Below are 20,169 nucleotides of genomic sequence, written 5' to 3' on the forward strand. Positions count from 1 at the left end.
TTAGCTGGGAGGGCCTGGAGATGAAGTGCCTGTGTAGGGGGCACTAGAGAGAGGGGCTTCTGGCTTCAGTGCCAGGGTGGCTGGGGCTGCCCTTTGGGCTCAGGCTGTGCTGAGTGCAAGGGAAGAGGGAGACCTCTGCACCTGGCAGGTAGGTGAGGGCACCTGATCCTTTAGGAAAAGTTTAGGCTGAAACCACTGACTGGGTGATCATCAGTGAATAGATAGGGGTGCAGGTCCTGCAAGGGGCTGAGGTCTCAGGAGAGTCCTCCGTAAGACAGTACTGGAGCCCTGGGAAGCACAGATGAGTCAGTGGCCAAGAGAGCAGAAGGAGCTGGGTAGGCCAGATTTCTGGAGAAGAGTGAGGGAGGCCAGATGTTCCCTGGACGCGTCATGGCTGTGGTTGTGATTCCGTCCCCTGAGGTGTGGGAGCTATAGCTTTCAATCCAGGCAAGTTTCCTGCAGGGGACAGTGTCTTGGTACTGAGGGGCAGGGCTGGGAAAGGAAGGGAATGGGGGCGGCTTTCATCACAGCCATGGTGAGGAGCCACAAGGCAGCTTGCACTTTGAAGATGGCTCCAACAATCTCCCCTATCCCGCAGGCCCTTCTACAGTGAATTGACTGTAGGGGGTGCTAGAGACAGGGTCTTCTGGCCTTTCTGGCCCCTCATCTCCTGAAGATGTACGCCTGTGCTCCCCCTCTTAAAACATGGGCGGGGCCGGGCGCGGTGGCTCACGCCTGTAACCCCAGCACTTTGGGAGGCCAAGGTGGGTGGATCACGAGGTCAGGAGATCGAGACCATCTTGCCTAACACATGGTGAAACCCCGTCTCTACTAAAAATACGAAAAATTAGCCGGGCGTGGTGGCGGGCGCCTGTAGTCCCAGCTACTCGGGAGGCTGAGGCAGGAGAATGGCGTGAACCCAGGAGGCAGAGCTTGCAGTGAGCCAAGATCGAGTCACTGCACTCCAGCCTGGGCAACAGAGCGAGACTCCGTCTCAAAAACAAAAAACAAAAACACGTGGGTGGGCTTGTGACTGCTTCGACCAATAGAGTATGGCAGAAGTGGCACTCTGGGGCTTCCAAGAGTGTCATAAAATGCAACACAGCTTCTACCTTACGTGCTGAGACGCTCACCCTTGGATCCCTGAGCCACCAGGTAAGATGTCCTCCTAGGACAGAGGCTGCTATGCCATGAGGAAGCCCGGGCCTGATGAATGGGTCCATGCAGGTGTTCTGGGGGACAGCCCCAGCCTAGCTCCCAGCCCACAGTCAGCATCCACCACGTGTTCACGCGTGAGTGAAAAGCCTCTGAATGGTTCCAGACCCCAGACATCGAGCCCCCATCAGCCACTGGTGCCTGCTGTGTGAGGCCCCAGATATCACAAAACAGATACAAACCGCCTCTTCTGTGCCCTGTCCGATGCCTGACCCGCAGACTCCATGAACAGAAGAAAATGGTCAGTGTTTTGTGCCACTATATTTTGGGGTGGTTTCTTGCACAACAATGGTAGTTGCAGGCAGAAAGGGAACTGGCTAGGCTGTGGCTGTGTGGCAGGGACAGGGAGCTAACTGGCTGGTGGGATGGAGCCTCAATTGCTCGGGCAAGGGGTGAGTTTTACCCCTGTTGTCAGGTTAGGGGCAGAGGAGGTTGAGGAGGTTGAATGGAGGTTGATGCTAGGAAACCAGGGAGGGGTTGCGGGGACATTTGGGGAGGAGGCTTGAAAATGACACCTAGTTCTGGCCTGGGGGTTACTCCAAGGGCAACATCAGGGAGGTCCTGGTGGGAGCAACAAGAGGTGGGGAGGGCTTTGGAGTCTTACAGGGTATGCTTAGTTCCCAGCACTTTCAATACCCAGCTCTCTCTGAGCCTTGGTTTGCTGGCCTGGAAAAGAGGGGTACAAATCCCCCGCTAAATGCAAGGTGAATGTGACTTCCTTTGATCACGTTTTTCTCCTTTATTTCTTATTGTCTTAACAAGCGCCCCCGCCCCCGACATTGCACGTAGACAACTGCTGATAAACGTGTCCAAGAGCAAGGTTTTTTTGCGCCATTTTATAGACACAGAAAATGAAGCTGAGAGGGGCTGGGGAGTGCCCACGGCCTTAGAGGACTCCAGCCTTCAGTGTGCACTTTTCCTGTTCCTCCCCTGGACTGAGGCAGCAGGAGGGGAGGGCAGGCCAGTGCCCCAGCAGGCCCGGGTGTGGCCCCCAGCGCTGGCTGGATTAAGCATTCCTCCCCAGCCCTGCCCCGGTCCCAGCCTCACAACTGCTTTCGCTCTGGAGTCCTAGACAAATTGTAGCCTGGAGAGCGGCTGTGGGGAGCTTACAAATGTGGCTGGCCCAGCCCTCCCCGCCTTCCTCCCACTCCACATGTCTGCCTCTGAGCCCTGGGGTCAGAATAGCCACTAAGGAGCTCTCACCAGGGCTCCACACACACTTGGGACTCCTGGGGTTCTTGCCAAATGGGTACCCCCGCCCCCAAGCCCTAGGAGCCTTGGATCTGCTGCCTGGACCCCAGCTCCCCTCCTCCTGCCGCCCTCCTCAGCATCTGGTTCCTCCTCAGAATGCAATGCTGTTGCCCCTGGCAACCGAGCTCCAGGCCAGATCCTGGTCCTCCTTCCTCCTCCTTCCCTTCTTTTTCTCCTCCTTCTTCTGCTTCCATATTCCCATCCTTCCTGCCCTCCCCCAGTCTGCCGAGACAGTGCCTGGGGCTGGAAGACTCCCCCCAAATCCGATGCCAGCTAGGCCAGCCAGCCAAGTCCCCTGGCCTTTCTGGTTGCTCGTTGGCTGATGATGACAGTCAGTACTCCCTGCCTGCCCATGGGACTGACTACTGCAGTCTTGGGCACCCCAGCGATGTCCCAGAAGACTCTGAGGCAGGGCTCTCAGGGTACCCCAGGCAAAGAGCCAGGGACTGTAGAGAGACAAGAGACAGCAGCTGAAGAAAATTTCTCCCCATTAGAGCTGTTTGAGGTGGTGAGCTCCCCAAAGCCAAAGGCATGCAAGGAGAGGCCTTTCCAGTGATGATGGTGCTGGCACTGGCATGGCACAGGGCAGTGAGGGGCTGTCTTGGAAGGAAGGTCGATGTGGGCTCGGCCTATGTCTATCCTGGCTGTCTCCTTTTCCCCAACCCCTGAATTCCCAGAACCTTTAGGAACACTTGCTCCCCAACCCCTGCCCTCCCAAGGACTCGTCATTTTTCATCTGGGCTCTAGAGAGGAGGACAGCACTAAGAGGTGGTCCCGGGTCCAGCGACATCAAGCACCATAGGGCAGGTCCAACGCCCAGCACAGCTGTTTAGAGTGGACAGAAACGGGCTCAGCAGGGCAGGCCACATGAACCCTAGCCGCCCTCACGCATCCCTTCCAGAGCCTCCGCTCACACTCCTGGATCCCCCTCCATATCCTAGGCTCCTGTCACCTTCCTGCTCTCCTGCAGGGCCTGTGGGCCAGCCATGCCCAATTCACGACTCATTCAACCGACTCCCACTCCTTCGTGCCCTGCACCAGTTCCTCCCTGTCAGGAATACACTTCTCCACCTTTCATTCTGAGTCAGCTCAGAGGCCCCCTCCTTCAGGAGGCTTCCCTGGACTGCCTGGGCTGTGCCCACTGCCCCGCGGGGCTCCCCACCCCGGGCTTGCCTCCTAGAGCTCTCTCACCCACGGCCTGGTCACCATCTGCACACGGTTTTCCCGAGTGCATCATAAGGACCTTGAGGCAGTGACTCTGTGCCCCACATTTGCTAACAAATACTAATGAGAACATCAGCACAGCCCTGCCTCTCTCTGGGCCTCAGTTTCCCCCATCTGAGGCCCCATGTCTGGGCCTTGGCTTCCCCCAGGATCCCCTTTTGGCTGAGAAGGGTGGCCACGCCCGGGCTGTCAGAACAAGACAGAGGCCAGTCCGGGCAGCTCTGCCCTCCTCATCTCCGGGGGCGTCCCCTCCAGGTTTCAGGAATGAGCCTCAGGAACTGGGGTGTGGGGGCCCGGACGGGGAGGTCCTGGCACTCCCCGAAGCTTTGGTTCTCGTCTGCCAAATGAGGACACTTATCGGGGCTACCCACCCCTCCGGCTGCCGTGAGGCCTTGGAGATGGCAGCCAGACCGGACTTTCCCATCGGATCCGCCAGAACCCAGGCTTCCCAAGGCAGCAGCTCCCGCGCAGCCGCCGCCCGCTTCTGGCAAGCCCAGCCCACGGGCTCAGGGGTCCCTGGGGCTCTGCTGCCCTCCAGTGGCCGGAGGCCCCTGGGCACTTAGAACCCGTGAGCTCCGGATTAATTCCATGGGCTTCCGTCTCCACCTAGGACGGACAGAAATGGTAGCAGGGACTTGTTGAGGTCACTCAGCAAGCCAGGCGCGGTACATGGACCAGGACCTGGGGCTCCAGGGCCCCAGCACTTCCATGCCCAGGGAGGGCTTGTCCTCTCGCAGGAGACCAGCCAGGAGAGGGAGCTGTTCCCCACCTGCCCACGTGTCTCACCTGGGACACCCTCTGTGCTGTAGCCCTTCCCTGCTGGCCACTCTCAATGCTGGCCTAGACTGCCCCCCGCCCGGAGAAGTGTTTCTAGTGCCTGCCCAGGGGTCATCCCCAATACGTGGGCCAATGTTGGGGGCTTGGAGGGGTGGCTTAACCCCTTTCCTCCTTGATTAATCAAATACTTAAAATAATGGCTGAGGTCATGATTGATGGACAGAGCATAGCTAATTACCCTGGAGATTAAAACGACTGTTTCTGTTTAAAAAGGCTGCAAATGAGTTAATTATTTCCTTTGCTCACCTCTCTAACCTCGTTACACTTCTAAATGAATAGCAATATTGATCTTGGAACTGATTTTGGTGTTACACCGCCCGAGCGGGTTTAATTAGGGTTTGAAAATGCTGCAGTGCCTCCTCCTTCTGACCGAGGAAATTAGACTTGGGTTTTACTTACATTTCACAGCCGTGTCCTCCACACAGATAGAAGGGCTGGAACATGGCGCAGTGGTGCCTGTCATCCCCTGCCCTGCCCTGCCCTGGCTCCCAGCTCCACTCCCATCCAGAGCAGCACAGACTGACCCTTGCTTCTCACCTCTCAGGAAGACGTGGCAGGAAGGCCAGTGGGGTCAGCTTGTTTAGCCTTGTCTGGTCACAGATTGGGCTCGGAGGCTCGGATATGATAGGACAGAGCCTAGCATCACTTGACGAGGTGGGGGCAGGCCTAGGACCTGAACTATCACAGACTCCCAACTCTGGACCTTGACGGCTCCCTGACTGAGTTAATATTTCCTCTCTGTCCCTCCTCACTTCTCCAGATGCCTACGGAGCCTCCTGGTGCTCTACCCCACCTCCAGCTCCCTCCTGCCTCTCCTCTCCTTCTTAGAGCTCCATGAAGAAAGGCCCCAGCTCGATGAAGGTGGGGAATGAGAGGGGGAGCAGGGCCCAGGATACCAGCACCCCTGCCCTGGATCTGCAGCTGACATCTAGGTGACCATGCCCTGTATCTGGGCCTCCCTACTCTGAATCTGACAGTCTGTCTATATCACTCCCTCCCACCTCCCCCAGCCAGAATTTTCAAGAGCAAGTAGCATCTCTGGGAGCCAGAGCCAGAAGGGTAGGGTAGTGAGAGTGAGCAGGACAGGCTTGGGCCAAGGATATAGGACTGAGTGGGTCTGCTCCTTCTTATTCCAAATAAAACCTTCCCTTGACCCTGGCTCTCCTCTGCCATGGCCAGATCTGTCCCAGTCTCACTTCTTTTTTTAATTTTTCCAGAGACAGAGTCTCCCTCTGTTACCCAGGCTGGAGTACGGTGACAGGATCACAGCTCACTGCAGCCTTGAACTGCTGGGCTTAAGTGATCCTCCCACCTCAGCCTCCCCAGTAGCTAGGACCACAGATGTGCACCACCATGCCCGGTTATTTTTTAAAAATTTTTGGAGAGATGGGGTCTTGCTGTGTTGCCCAGGCTGATCACAAACTCCTGGCCTCAGGTGATCTTCCTTCCCACCTTGGCCCCAGTCCCAATTACTGAGAGTTGTGTACATTCACTGCCCCCGTCTCTGACTTCCTCCCCACGCCTCTGCCCTCTGTTTTTTATGTCTCCCAGATAAAACGATTCTTACTGAGGTCACCAGCAACCTCTAAGTTGCTGAACAAAGTGAGCGCTCTGTTCAGGGGGTCTGGGCATGGATCTACCTGACAGCTTCTCTCCTTCCTGCAGTGGCACTGGCTCCTGGGTTTCCTCCTCCCTGCTCCCTCTTGGGACTGGGTGCTCCCCTCCCATCCCTGAAGAATCTCAGGGTTTGGCTTAAGCCCTCTTCTCTTTCTTCTCACTTGACGCGCCCTCCCCTGGTGAGCCCACCTCTCTCGTGGTTGGAAAGTGATCTATCCCAAATTACTATCTTAGCTCAGCCCTCTCCCTTGAGTGCATGTAGGTCCAGCCAGGGAGTGACATGGTTAGACTTACACTTTAGAAAGGCCACTGTTACTGTAGTGTGGCAGGAAAGGATGATGGTGGAGACAGAGGAACCCCTGAGGTGGCTGTTCTAAGTCTCAGCGGAAAAACATTCAGGCCTGTGGCTGAAGAAATGGGGAGCAGGGGGTGATCCACTGGACGGGGAGGCTTTGGGGATTGATTTCCTAGGGGCACGTTCCAGGGCAATGTCCCATTGTCAAGTTGGACCTCTGAGTGCCTTTGGCTGAAACTGGCAACGTCAGGGAGAAGCAGGCTTCCAGGGAGTGTTCAGGCTGTTGGGTTGAGTTCAAGGTGCCTACAGGGACATTCAGAAGGAGAAGGAAGGTAGGTGACTCCCTCAAATTGCTACAGCCAGCTTGTAGCCCTGCCATTCAGGGTAGAGGTCATCAGCATGCAAGGAGCTAGGCGGCGACTGCATGCCCAGAAGCACTGCTACAGATAAGACAGCCAGGACGATGTGGGAGAGCAGAAGGCACTGCATTCGACCCTGGTGATTCATGCCTAATTTGGCCAGTGAAATCTGTGAGCCAGACCACATGCCCTGCCTTGTCAAACAAGGAAAGAAGTGTGGAGATTGAGGGTCAGAGACTCTAACTGAATCCCAACCTCACTAATAGACTGAGCCCTGATCCTGCTCACAGTCTGAGCCCTCATCCTTGTCACAGTCCAAGGAAACAGGACTACCCAGCTGGAGGCTCTTAGGTAACACCTTCCTGTTTCCATTTCCCCTTTTCTCCCCTGAGGTAAGGATGAAGGAGAGGGAGCTTAGTAGTGCCAAGGAAGCAAGCCTGGAGTACTGAAGGCAAGATAGAGAAAGCACTTCCAATGTGCATGCCCAGGAATCCTCAGCTTTTTGGGGGTTCATGGCATACATGTGAACACTGGAACTTTCAGTGGCACCATTGAGAAAAGACTCACTGGGCACAGTGGCTCACGCCTATAAGTCCAGCACTTTGGGAGGGCAAGGAAGGTGGATGACTTGAGCCCAGGATTTCAAGACCAGCCTGGGCAACATGGTGAAACCCTGTCTCTACAAAAATTAGCCAGGCATGGTGGTGCACGCCTCTAGTCCCACTTACTCAGGAGGCTGAAGTGAGAGGATTGCTCGTGTCCAGGAGGTGGAGGTTGCAGTGAGCCATGATTGCACCACTGAACTCCAGCCTGGGCAACAGAGTGAGACTCTGTCTAAAAAAAAAAAAAGAAAAGAAAAGAAAAAAAAAAGATTCAAAACCACCCTAAAGGAGCCAGCGGCAGTGTCCTTGTGGTCATCACTGTGGCATCAGATGCTTCACATGCTTGCAAAAGCTCATCAGTTACTACTGAGCTGTCTGGGTCCTCAGGACACAATTGCCTTTAGATGGAGCTATTTACTGTCCTGGGTATACTGCTGTCCCTGTATCACTGCATCCTGTGACATACTGGGCATAGACAGAAGAGTTCCCTTAATGAGTTCTAGGGTGGTGGTTAGGAGTTCCAAGCTCTGAGTTCCAGACTGCCTGGAATTCAAATCCTGACTCTGCCCATCCCAGCTGTGCGATCATGGGCAAGCTGCTTCACCTCTCTGTGCCTTAGTTTCCTCATCTGAAAGTGGGGGTGATAATAGCACTTACCCCCTAGGGAGTTCACTTATATTAAGTGCTTAGTGCCTGGCATGTGGTGAGTGCTCTCTTAGGGTTGGGTGTTGCTATAACTTTGCTTATTGATGCATGCTTGGCTGACACTGTAAAGATCACAACACCTCAGAGAGGCCAGTATTCAGGCTCTGGGAGACCAGTACAGTTCGAGGGCAATTAATTGCTGTCTACTCTGTGCTGGGCGCTGGTGACACAGAGAGAAAACTCCACATTCCTGCTCTCAGGGGGTATACTGTCTGTGAAGAGATCGTCCTAACACACACTGTGTGTGCTGTGTTGGGGGGAATGTGAGTGAAATGGACTCTGTTGGGGGGGATGATGGGTGTTCATAACAAATACATTTATTGCGTGCCTACTGCGTACCAGGCCCTGCTCTGGGGACTTTACACATATTACATAATCCTTACAAGAGGATAATATATAACATTATCATAATTTTCATCCTTGTCTTATAGATATCTTTGAGGCTCAGAAAGGGTGGGACTGGAGAGGCCTGAAGCTTTTCTGTGCCAGGCAATGTTGTGAGCAGAGGTGTGACTGAGGCTTGGGGGCCCAGGGGGCTGCCTGGCCGAGGGGGCCTATGCCAGGCGTGGGTGTGGGCGAGAGACTTGATAGAGGTCTTCAAGGTCAGGCCGAGGCACTGTGCTTACTGGTCACTTGCGCTTGAACCAGGCAGGGCTCCAGTGTGGAAGAGCAGGGCAGGGACTACCATTCCCCCAGGCCTAGCCCTGAACATCAGGACTAATCGTGAGTGCGTCCTATACCCCAGAGCTCTGCGATGAGTGTGAGTCCAGGTGTGTACACGGATAGGTATGCCAGTGTGGGCAAGGTGGGCTTGTCTCCTTAGGGGTCTTATCCCTTAAGTCCCCTCCACCCATAGACCCAGGCGGGGCAGGGCTCAGGAAGGAGGGCACCTTCTTCCTGAGGGTGGGAGGGGTGGGCAGGGTCAGAAGAAGGGGTGGAGGGAAGATGCTGCTGCCATGGGAGGGCCTAGAGGCAGAGCGGGCGGCCTGGGGACTTCCTGCTCAGCTTCCTGCTTGGCCCCAGGAGCTTCCTCCCAGCACTGCGGCCCCAGGACCCTGACAACCTCCACCCTCAGACGGGAGAGGAGAGGCTGAGTGCCGGCTACCAGGCAGGAGGTGGGGACGCTGGATGCCTGTACCTCCCGGCGCCTCCTGCCCCCCACTCACCTCCCCTGCACAATTAGCGGGCTCTTGTCTCTAATTGATTCCTCTGGTACTCACAGGACAATTAGAATTTAAATTGCCTTTTACAAAGGTCACAAAAACATGATCAAAGAGGGATCTATTAGAGGGGCGGGGGCCGCTTCTCCTTCCCAGCCTCCCAGAGCCGTAGAGGCAGAGGCCAGGCCTTTGAGGAACCATCACCACGTGTGCGGGGCCCTTCTATCACCACACAGTCTTCCCCAAGCCTTCCTGGTCCCGGCTGTGTGAAGGGTGGGGGAAGGGTAAGTCCAACCCCCGACTCTTTCCCCACCATGGGGGGTTTGAGGCCTCATCTCTGCTCCTCCCACAGCTGTCTCCTTGTTCCTTCCTCAGCCTGCACCCTGCTGGCCCCATGACCTTGCTCTAACTGTGCTTCAGATGGCCAGATCCCGTCCCTCACCAGCTCTGTGACCTTCCCTACGCTACCTGCCCCCTCCAAGCCTCAGTGGTGGCATCTGTGAAACGGAGCCAATGCGTTCTGCTTCCTAAGGGTGGGAGGTACCACAGGAAGAACTCCTGCACCCCTCCACCTCGGAGCGTTGCTTCTCTCTCTGCACGTCTGCCTCCTCCAGGAAGCCAGCTCTGGGGCTCACACTCTGGCTGCTGCCCGGCAGCTACTGTGGCCTGTACCTGCCCAGGGATGAGGAGGCCGCCCCCATGCCAGGGTACAGGACAGGGATTGCCCACTCCTTCCACGGTATCCCGCAGCAGCCTGCACAGGGCTAGGCACATGGGGAGCGTGGAGGTTTGGGGCGTGGATCCAAGAGACAGATGGGGAGGTTGGCTGAGACAGCCAGGTCCCCACGCCAGGAGCTCCCCCTCTGGCAGGATAGATAGCAGCATCACCAGCTCACTTGGGGTCAGGTCTGGGGGCCGTTGCTCTGCGTTCTGGCCTCCCCAGGGGCACCACAGGGGCACCACAGGGGCTTGGCTGGGTCTCTGGCAGCCACACTGACTCAGATTCTCAATCTTGGGTACTCTTGGGATTGCTGGGGTGGGGTTTGGGGCTGGAGGAGGCTGGATGGGGTGGCCTTGGTGTGTCAGGAGGCCTCTTTTGGACCAGCCTAGTTGTTGAGGCCAGCTTGGCCTGGCTCAGCTGCTGGGGTTGGGGGTAGGGTGGACAGCAAGGGGCCAGGAGGAGCTTGGCTTCCTGAAGGCCTCCAGACCCTGAGCCCACGCAGCTGGGTCTGAGAGGATACCTTGGAAGCAGCCCCAGCTCCACCCAGTTTCTACCACCCAAGCCAGGAGGGCTGCCCCTGGAGAGCAGGTGACAGTGCCCATCATGCCAGACTGGCTAGTGGAGGGAAGTGGGGACAAGGCACAGCTGCCTTCTAGACCCTATCAGACTTCAGAAAAGGAGTGGGGTGCATTGGGTATCTGCAATGTGCCCGTCCCTGGCTGCAGGCTTTAGGAGTCTTGCCTCACAGAATCTTTCCAGCAATCTTATAGGTCACCATTTCACAATGAGAAAACAGGCTCAGAGAGGCTGAGCATCTTGCCCAAGGTTGCACAGTGAGGGAAGAACAGAGCTGGAATTTAAACCCCGGCTTGCCCAGTTCCACGGAGAAACCCTGGATGGCCCAGCTCCGTGGCTGGTACTGGTTGTAAGGAATCTCATTATTTTGGGACACAAAACCAGCATCAGGAGCAGCACAGGTGGTAGAATCTCTTGAGGCTCCACTTGGGAGGGTGGGGTGGGGCACGGAGCCCAGCACGGAGTCTGTGTGGCTTTGGGGAGGGGTGGGCAAGACATCAGTATTCCTGCTCACTCTACTGTGGCCCCCAAGGTCAGGAGACATCATCATTCCTCAGTTAGAAGCGGGCAGGGAGCCTCAGGGCGGGGAGGATTACCCAGGTAATCCAGCCTGATTACCAGACCTAGCAGAACTTCATCTGGATGCTGGAGGAGGCAGCTGTGGGGCTGAGGCCGGCAGCACAGTCAATGAACACCCAGCCCCCTGACCTGGTGTGAGCTGGGGTCCACTGCCAGCCTCTGAGGAAGTCCCTATTAAAGAGGAGAGGCAGGAGGGGTGGGGGAGGACAGGACCACTCGGGATCCTCAGAGGAGGCAAGGGAGGCTGCCCTCCTTGCCAGTGCATCTCAGGGTAGAAACCTGGCAGAGCCATCTGTCCACACCCCTGCCTTAGTCCTCAGTCCTGCCCTGTTAGCAGAAGGGAGGTGTTTCAGAGTGGGGTGAGATGCTGGGGCTGCCCAGGGAGAGGACAGAAGGGCTGCTCTTGTCTGTGGCACCCTCACTGGCGGGGCTTCTTGCTCTAACCCTGCGTCTCTCCAGAGCAGGGTGGGGTTGGGCATTCCACTAGTACTTGAGGCATGAGAAGGTCTTTCCAGGGCCATAAATCCCATAGGCCCAGGCGAGCAGGCCCACAAAGCTGTTGTGACAGCAGTGGTTAAATTAAGTGGCCATCTTGGAGCCAGGCGGGGCAGGTTTCCTGAGCCAGGATTTATGGCCTGCCTGCCCCATTGACTGCCCATGCGGCCTGCCTGAGGGAGGCCCATTCACAGCCACCGGGAGCTCCTACCATGTGGGAGAACCAGCTGGGGCTGCTGTGCCTGGGCCACGGGAACTGGGGGCCTCTGAGTGCTGGCATCCCAAAGCCACACCACTGCCTGCTTTTGTCCTCAAAAGAGGATCCCAAGGCCCAGGGAGGGCATGAGATCACATGGGGCCTGGCTCAGTCTTAGATTCCTGAATGATGCAGCCACACTGCTCTGTTCAGGATGTTGCTCAGGTGTGCGGCCTCTGAGGCCCTGGCTGGCCTGGCCCAACGAGTGAGGAACCCTAGGTGTAGGGTTCCTTTACCTTCTCACAACCTTCTTGGGACAGGTGGGGTCCTTCTGACCCCGGCCCCTTAGGCCTTCCTTCTCTCCTGGAGTCTAGCCAGTGGCGACAGAGCAGGAGGCAGGGGCTGCCCCTGCCTGGCTTCATCCTCATATGCACATGCCTGTGTCCAAGCACGTGTGTTGGGAAGCAACATAAATGTGCCAGCATCTCAGGTCATGTTAGGGTGAGACACTGTGCTTGGGGCATTTCATCTGTAGAACCCACTGACCTGGACATTGTTAGATATTTACTTGGAACAAACAGAACATCAACAATAACAATAAAGAATCAATACACAAAACATAAAACATGTGGGATTGGAGTCCTCCAAAGCAGCCTTGAACCAGTCTGTTCCAAGCAATGGTGTGGACTTGGCCCCCTAGGTCCACAAGACATTTCAGCTAATAAGTCCAGAAGGGTGACACCCTCACTCCACCTCCCACCCCGAACCCTCAACAGATTTATGCCCAAGCTGGAGAGCAGGACCTGCCCCTTCCCTGGTGCTCATTGCTGGGACCCTCCGAAGTCACGTTAACCAGGGGAAAACTGCATTGCGGGTGGCCAGTGACCACTACTCAAATAATTAAGTCATATTCGCTTGAAGATGTCCTTGAGCAGGAGCACAGGTGGCACTGGGGAGTGCCACCTATCTCAGGAGGGCTGTCTGTGTGGGCCTCACCTGCAGGGCAGCCTCTAGGCCTCGGACAGTGTCTGGGCTGTGCTCCTCAGGTGGGACCCAAGCCCGGGCCACACCCTGCTCTGGACAGCTCTTACCTGTCCAGGCCACACCCTGCTCTGGACAGCTCTTACCTGTCCGGGCCACAACCTGCTCTGGACAGCTCTTACCTGTCAGGGCCACACCCTGCTCTGGACAGCTCTTACCTGTCTTGGCTCTCCGAGGTCTGGAGGCTGCAGGTCTCAGTCAGATTCCCTGCTGGAGGTCAAGTCTGTCAGGAAGGCCAGGAGGGGCTCCCTGTCACCAGAGCAAGGGCTCAGCCTGGCTCCATGTCACTTCAGGCTCAAGCCCCAGCCAGCCTTTCCATACCCTTCTCCCTCTGTGCCTCAGTGTGCACAAGCTCAAGGACTTGCTGGTGTCATTTGGACCTCGTACTTTCCGACTTCCTAGCCTTGGCTGAAGCTGTTACGTCCTCCTGGAAGGACTGCCTCCCCCAACCCCTCCACCGCAATCTCCACCTTTTCTGGTCCTCTCCATCCACAAGGCCCAGGGCTACAGCCTGCTGTTCCTCCCTGGAGAGGATCTGGCCCTCACACTGCGGGGTGTGGGGTGCTGGGCTTTCCCTGCAGTTCAAAGAACCCTGATCTGGGATGAGTATAAACAAAAGGCCCATTTTACCCTGTGGGATCCTCGGTGGCCTCATCTATAAAATGGAGAGAATAGCCTTGCTCCTCCCCTTGCTTCCGCAGCCCTCCATGCTCTGCCCTGTCCACTGTAGTCCTCAGGCTTAAAAAAAAAGAGAAGCCAGCAGGGGAGGGTGGGGTAGCCTGGGGCAAAGCAGTGCCCGGTGTGTGAGGATGCAGTTCAGAGGGGAGGGGAGGGGACCTGGCTGAGGCCGGATGGTCTGTGAGCAAACTGGAGGGGCTAGAGGGGAGAAGAGCGGGTTCTGTCCGCTTTAGGGCCCGTGAATGCTGACGGTTTGGTAGGCAAAGGCAAGGAGGTGAGAGCTTTTGCTGCCAGAGCCTAGGGAGCAGGCAGGGGCTGTGTGTACATCTGGTATGTCTGTGTGTACATGTGTGTATGAATAGTGTGTTGTATGGCTGTTAATTGTACGACATGCAAATATGACCATGCATATGTACCCATGTGTATCTGTGCCTGTGTGAGCATGTATATGTGTCTATGGCTATGTCTATGGTGTGTGTGTAACATGTCTGAGTTTGCATGTACATATGATGTGTGTATATGTATAATATGTGTGTGTGAGTTGTGTGATTTTGTGTAGGGTGTGTGTAGGGAGTGGGCATGTGTGTTTGCTTTTGTGTGTGTGCATATGTGTGTGTCTGTGTGCATGTGTGTGTATTTGTGTGTGTGTATTTGTGTGCGTGCATGTGTGTGTGTGAGAGAGAGAGATGCATGTCCTCGTTCCCGTGATCATCAAGCCTCCTTACCCAGCACCCTTGACCCTGGATCTGTCCTGTGATCCTTCACAGCCCACAGTTGCCCTAGACATGTGCAGAGACCACCCACTGCCCCCCACCGGCAGCCTGTCCCCTCCCACCGCTGCTCCTAGACTGTCCTGAATGAACCCAGAACATGGGACCCATTGCTTCCCTCCCTCTGGTGCCCCACTTCTCTTAACAAAGCCTGACGTCTCCAGAGCATAGGTCATTAGGGTGGCCTTTCCTCCTCCGAACTCTGTCCCCCGCCCCAGACCCTGCACAACTCTCTCATTCCAACCCTCTTGCTGGAAGGGGCCGGGTCCTATTGCCTAGAAAGAGAAGCAGAGAGGCAGGGGACAGAGGTTCAGGGAATGATCTGCATCTGGCGGCCGAGAAGGGTCTCCAGGGAGGTTGCCCATCCTTGACTCAGAGTGAAACTAGTTTCAGGCCCATCTCAGGGAGCCTGGGCCTGTCCTCCTGGGGCCCACTGCCCTTCAAGTGACTGCCAGCACCTCCAGCCTCTCTGTTAGCTCTGCTCCAGGCCTGCTGCCTCCTGCTGCCTCACGGGAGAGATGACGAAGAAACGACAGACAGGTCAACCCACTCCTTCTATCCCCTCTGCCTTGATCTCATGCTCCTGATGGGCCAGCCACCTCCACTCAGGGGGGTCCTGGGCCCTGGGCTGAGGCCCTCTTGTGGTTTTCTCCCTCCCTAAAGTCCCAACTCCAGCCTCCAGGAGTTCCTCTCAGCTATAACACCCACTTTTCTCCACCTGCTTCCCCAGGTCCCCATTATTCATTCACTGGTGCCTGGCCCTGGCCCGCCCTGCTGGGGCACAGCAAGAAAGCAAAGCAGGCTTTCCACTGTGGGGACCAGCCTGAGGGCAGAGGAGAGGGACCCAGGCTCTGACTTCCGGGTGTCTCCCTGTCCTGGGAGTCAGAGGCCAGCACATAACACACATGTGTGCACACTCACCCACCCACACACATACACACACACGTGCATAAAGCACAGTGAGATGATGGGGAAATGAACCTGGTGGAGGACTTGGGTTGGGATAGAGCCAGCCCTTGGGGAGCGAGCGCAGAAGGACAGACCCCCCTGGAACCCCCTATCCAGATCAAGGGCTGGTGGAGGTGGAGCTTCCTGGCCAGGGCTCATCCTGGGGGCTCAGGCTGAAGAGGGAGCAGAGAGGGGCAGATGTGGAGATGAGAGCAGGAGGGGGCTCAGAGGAGGGAGCCAGATGGACAGTGTGTGAGGGAGCATGTTGGGAGGGGCCCGCAGCCCGGGGCAGTGGGGAGGGAGGAGGGGCTGCTGCTGGCCTGGCCAAGTCAGCTGAGCCGGACATCAAAGCTGAGTGTTCCCAGGATGCTGGTCTCCCTCCCACAGAGAGACAGATGTCCCTTTGATGGTGAGAAGAAAGGATGTTGTACAGCAAGGGTGGGGAGGGGTCGGGGGAGACCGAGTCTCCTCTTTGTGGCCATCCAGGCAATGGAGAGTCCATCATGAATGTCACGTCCTCCACTTCCAATGGACAGTGAAGCCGGACCCATCACTGGGGCTCCAACTGCCAAGGGAATGGCAGCTGTCCCGGGATCAGGGGTCGCCTACTGGCTACTTCCTCGCAGCTGAAGTCCAGTGGGGCCACTGTCCTGCTGGCTAAATGGGGGTCAGCCAGTCCTGCAATGACAGGACAGCCTTGTATGTTGGGAGCTAGAGCAGAGTAGGAACAGTGATCACTTCACCTCCCTGCGGCTACCTTGGCTATTATGTGTCTCACTAAGCCCATGTGTGTGTGCACACGTGTATGGGCCTCGAGAACGTGCATGCAGGGCCTCCACCCCCTGCCCCAGCTGGGCCTTCACTCCAGCAGGACCGAGACACTCTGCCCTTTCGGGCTGTGGGCTCCTCTGAGTCCTACCTCTACTCTGGGCTCACCTAGCTGCCCTGCCTGGAGCACCTGCAGCACCGGTGCTAGGCCATAGGATACCCTTGTAAGAATCAGCAAAGGCACTCCTTCCTCCAGACGCTTTTCTGCCAGTCTGCTGAAGAATGTCATGCTAAACATACACATCTAGGATGACCACAGTGCGGGCACCGCACTCTGCGGTAGTGAGGTGAGGGCCTTGAACCTCTCCCTGCCCCTTCTCTCAGCAACCCAAATCTACCAGACTTCTCCACGAAGCCCTTTGACCTCCAGCCTGGGGCCTGCACAGCACCTGATGTGAAGCCTGCATCCCACCCTTGGTGACAGCAGTTTTGGACTTGGGCATCCCACCTAGGAGCCATGGTTACACGGTGGGGGACACTTTCACCAGTGGGGAGGTCAGTATTCTCTCCTCCACTGTCACACCCCAGAGAGGGCCCACTCAGGGAGACCCAGCCAGGTCTCCATCAGTGCTGGAGGGGCCCTGGGGTGCAGGCAGCAGCCAGGTCACAGGCAGGTCCTGATGGATTTTAGACCTTCGGCAGGGTGGGAAGAGCAGGCTCCTGCCAGCCATCTAGGGAAGAAGAGGGCTTGCTTCATGATCCAGCTCAAGAAGAAAATGCCTTAGAAAGGTCCCTGGTGCAGCTGAGCAGGCTCTGAAAGCCACAGGGCCTCTGCGGCCTTCTGAATCCAGGCTCTTTGGAAAGGCCCCTTTTGTATAGAGGGGAGCCTCACCACACCCTTCTGTCCGCACCCACTGGGAAGGCAGACCCCATGTCCCTTTTACCCCTAGGTCCCCCCATGCTACCCACCATACCAAGGTTCTGCCAGGCAGGTCTATGGAGATCCACAGACAGGCCCCTCGCCCCAATTCTGCTGTGCTTTGGCACCTGCTTCTGGGACTCCAGCCTGTGTGCCATCAGCCCCTCCAGGCTCTGCACACAGCACCCCCACCATGTACCATGATGCCAAGCTGTCCCAGAGCCCCCTGGCTGCCCTCGCATCTCCCCATATAAACAGAGGCTTGCACACTGCAGCGTCCACACCTGCTCCCAGACATGCCCAGACCCCGCGGGGCAGAAACTCAGCAGAGCTCCTCCTCATGTCCGGAGATATTCCTCACCACCTTCCACCTGGGCCCAGTTTCCCTCTGCAACCTGGCAGAAAAACCCAGCCAGCCCCCTAACCCCCACCCTCAATCCCGTGGACTCAGCTCCCACCTCTTGGGAAAGAAAGTAGGAAATAAAAGGGAGGCAGGGGAGGGGGAGACATTGGAAAAGACATTTCCAAGCGCTGTATGTGCTGGTGACATCCCAACAGCTGCCGCTGACGTGGAAAAATAGAAGTTGCTGGCTTGTTTTTTCGTCCTCTCTTTCTAAATGATTTGACGTTTTATTCCCCCTCATCAAACGCTCTATTCTCTGCTAATGGCAGAATAATAAAAAATTATCCCTCATAGCATGTGAGTGAGAGGCCAAGATGGGAGCCCAGGAGAGGGAGGAAGGAGAGAAAGAAAAAAGGTTATTATAAATGTGTCAGCCTTGTTTATGGCCCTTTATCAGCGAAGGAGAAATGGGGAGGGATAGACACAGTTAACGTGCACTTGCAAGCGGCCTGCCAGTTGGGTTGGGGAGTGTAAATAATTTTTATTTTCAGCTGTATTTAGATATTTTAAAATATACACCCGCCAGCCATCGTGGGGAACCAGTTGAGCCTGCTGGGCCATGAGGGATGGGGGCGGCCTGGCTTTCGGCTGCTTTGATGGGACCGTGCTTGACAATTAGGGCTTTCAAATGCAGTGTTTGCTGATAAAGGCTTCCCTTCCAAGGAGCACAGAGAGATAGTGAGGCCAGCCTTGGTGGCTGCCAAACTCCCCGGGAGGCAGGCCCGAGGCAGGATTTGGGAAGGTGGCGCAGGGGCCCAGTGTCCTTCTTGATAAGGCCAGCAAGGGCACAGCTGCCCTGGGCCAGCATTCCACCCTCCCCACACTGCCGGTGCCACATCTTTGTCCCGGGCTTGCAACAGACTGTGTAGCCTCAGACCCTCAGGTTCCATTCATGCCATCACTCACTGGTCAACATTTACTGAGCACCTACTGTGTGCCAGGATCATAGGGGTTCAAGGGCAGGGAAACTTAGAGAGACTGTGCTGCTTAACTGGTTGTTTAAGCCCTCTTCCTTGAGTACCTCCTGAGACCAGTCCTTCACGATGTTCAGTGTTAGTCCATTGCACTCTGGGCTTGAAACAGCTGCCCAAAGGCAGTGTGATACTGTGGTTAAGGGAGGCACCCCACATGTGAGTTGTGGCAGTGAGACTTCAGGCACATGACTTCCAAGGGCTGAGCAGCCATCTCTTGTTCTGTAAAATGAGATAATAGCATTCCCACATATGGGAATGGGGGTCAAATGAGATGATGAGTACAGTGTAAAGCCTTTACTATCTGACACACTAAACAATGTCTCTTGTCATTTGCTGTGTACAGCGATGGGACTATCAAATCCCACCAGGAACCCCTAAATGTTCCAGTCTGCCCAGTGTGGAGGTCAGGTTCAAGATTAGGCTGCTGAAAGCCAAACTCTGTCTTCTGGGAGCTTGCAGGCCAGGGTGGACAGAGGGGCTGTGAATGGCACAGGCTCAGCTTATCTGGGCAGGCTCCAGAAGGGTCCTTGAAGGATGGAGATGGGGTAAGGAGGGGCCTGGCCTGGCTGGAATAGAGGGGGTGGTCAGTGGCCAGATGGCCTGACTTCACCATATTGGTTCCCAAAGCAGCTCAGAGAGGGCTTTTGACATTCATATCCCATGAGAGTTGTGTAGGAGGTGTGCGGCCAGCACATTACTGGCCCCCTGTGTCTTAGGCCCATTGAATGCCATCTCTGATAGATGCAAGGGTCAACTTGCCATGTCCTACATGTTCCTCTGGACTCTCAGAGCTGGGCCAGATTGACACTGGCAGACAGTGGGCATGGACAGGCTCAGAGAAGCAAACGAGAATAGAACCAAATTCCTAGGTCTTTTACTTTGCTGGTCATGGGAAAGCAAACTCTTTAAGCACAGCCCCTGCCACCCCCCACAGTAAGTTCCTTCTTCTGACTGGAACAGGGATGACTGGAAGGACAGGCAACATCAAGCTAAAGAGTGACTGGATGTTTAGTCCTGAGTATAAATTTAAACAAATATGCTGAGCTGAGCAGGACCAGACCCAGGACTGTACTAGGCCCTGCAAGGAGGGCCAAGAGCAAGCCAGGAAGGCAAAGCAGGTAGGAGAGAAGAAGAGGAAGAAGAAAGTATGGAGAGGGAGCAGACAGGGGCTCTGCACCTGCCTCCCTCCTCTTGTCATTGCCTCAATCATTTACACCACAAACACGTTGCTGCCTGCTGTAAGCCTGGACCTCAAGGTGCTCACAGACCCAAGAGGGAGGAAGATATGTAAACAGACAAGGAAGAGTCAGCATATGAAGTGGCGGTTTATGGTGGTTCAAGAGTGGGGAGGGGAGGTGGGCATCAGGGAAGGAGGCGCAGAGCAGGAGAGACTTGACTGGGCATCAGAAGTAGACATAGGAGTTTCCAAGTAGACTGGGTGGGGAGGACATTCCTTGTAGAGGGTCAGCCTGAACAAGGGCCTGAAAACCAGAGGCCACATAGACCACAAGGGGAGGTACAAGTTCGTAATATCCGGCGGGGAGAGGATGATGTTACTCCTTATATCGCAGGGGGTGTACACCTTGCTGCGATATTTTTTGTAATATCCAGGGAGGGAGAGGATGATATTACTCCCTGTATTGCAGTTGTTTGTAATATCCAGGGGAACAGATGATATTACTCCCAATATCGTAAACACCCTGAGCGTACACCCTCTGTGATATTGTTCATAATATCCGGGGGGAAGAGGATGATATTACACCCAATATCGCAGGGGGTGTACACCCTCCTGTGATATTTTTCATAATATCCAGGGGAGGATAGAATGATATTACT

At 55.9% G+C, this 20,169-nt stretch overlaps 7 annotated features.

The window, feature by feature from the left end:
• Window positions 2,211-2,890: an enhancer, noted in NCBI's record as "H3K4me1 hESC enhancer chr15:77833845-77834524 (GRCh37/hg19 assembly coordinates)". NCBI's record gives its function as "activates a minimal SCP1, AML or CMV promoter by ChIP-STARR-seq in primed H9 embryonic stem cells {active_cell/tissue: H9 hESC(primed)}" and the evidence as "EXISTENCE:reporter gene assay evidence [ECO:0000049][PMID:30033119]".
• Window positions 4,394-4,608: a silencer, noted in NCBI's record as "fragment chr15:77836028-77836242 (GRCh37/hg19 assembly coordinates)". NCBI's record gives its function as "represses an EF-1alpha promoter that drives an FKBP-Casp9 reporter gene in an ReSE screen in phorbol 12-myristate 13-acetate-treated (for megakaryocytic differentiation) K562 erythroleukemia cells {active_cell/tissue: K562(+PMA)}" and the evidence as "EXISTENCE:reporter gene assay evidence [ECO:0000049][PMID:32094911]".
• Window positions 13,189-13,832: an enhancer, noted in NCBI's record as "H3K4me1 hESC enhancer chr15:77844823-77845466 (GRCh37/hg19 assembly coordinates)". NCBI's record gives its function as "activates a minimal SCP1, AML or CMV promoter by ChIP-STARR-seq in primed H9 embryonic stem cells {active_cell/tissue: H9 hESC(primed)}" and the evidence as "EXISTENCE:reporter gene assay evidence [ECO:0000049][PMID:30033119]".
• Window positions 15,038-15,631: an enhancer, noted in NCBI's record as "NANOG-H3K4me1 hESC enhancer chr15:77846672-77847265 (GRCh37/hg19 assembly coordinates)". NCBI's record gives its function as "activates a minimal SCP1, AML or CMV promoter by ChIP-STARR-seq in naive H9 embryonic stem cells {active_cell/tissue: H9 hESC(naive)}" and the evidence as "EXISTENCE:reporter gene assay evidence [ECO:0000049][PMID:30033119]".
• Window positions 15,632-16,224: an enhancer, noted in NCBI's record as "NANOG-H3K4me1 hESC enhancer chr15:77847266-77847858 (GRCh37/hg19 assembly coordinates)". NCBI's record gives its function as "activates a minimal SCP1, AML or CMV promoter by ChIP-STARR-seq in naive H9 embryonic stem cells {active_cell/tissue: H9 hESC(naive)}" and the evidence as "EXISTENCE:reporter gene assay evidence [ECO:0000049][PMID:30033119]".
• Window positions 17,413-18,006: an enhancer, noted in NCBI's record as "NANOG-H3K4me1 hESC enhancer chr15:77849047-77849640 (GRCh37/hg19 assembly coordinates)". NCBI's record gives its function as "activates a minimal SCP1, AML or CMV promoter by ChIP-STARR-seq in naive H9 embryonic stem cells {active_cell/tissue: H9 hESC(naive)}" and the evidence as "EXISTENCE:reporter gene assay evidence [ECO:0000049][PMID:30033119]".
• Window positions 18,007-18,598: an enhancer, noted in NCBI's record as "NANOG-H3K4me1 hESC enhancer chr15:77849641-77850232 (GRCh37/hg19 assembly coordinates)". NCBI's record gives its function as "activates a minimal SCP1, AML or CMV promoter by ChIP-STARR-seq in naive H9 embryonic stem cells {active_cell/tissue: H9 hESC(naive)}" and the evidence as "EXISTENCE:reporter gene assay evidence [ECO:0000049][PMID:30033119]".

The sequence above is a fragment of the Homo sapiens genome, chromosome 15 (genome assembly GCF_000001405.40).
Source record: "Homo sapiens chromosome 15, GRCh38.p14 Primary Assembly".
NCBI classification, from domain to species: Eukaryota; Metazoa; Chordata; class Mammalia; order Primates; family Hominidae; genus Homo; species Homo sapiens.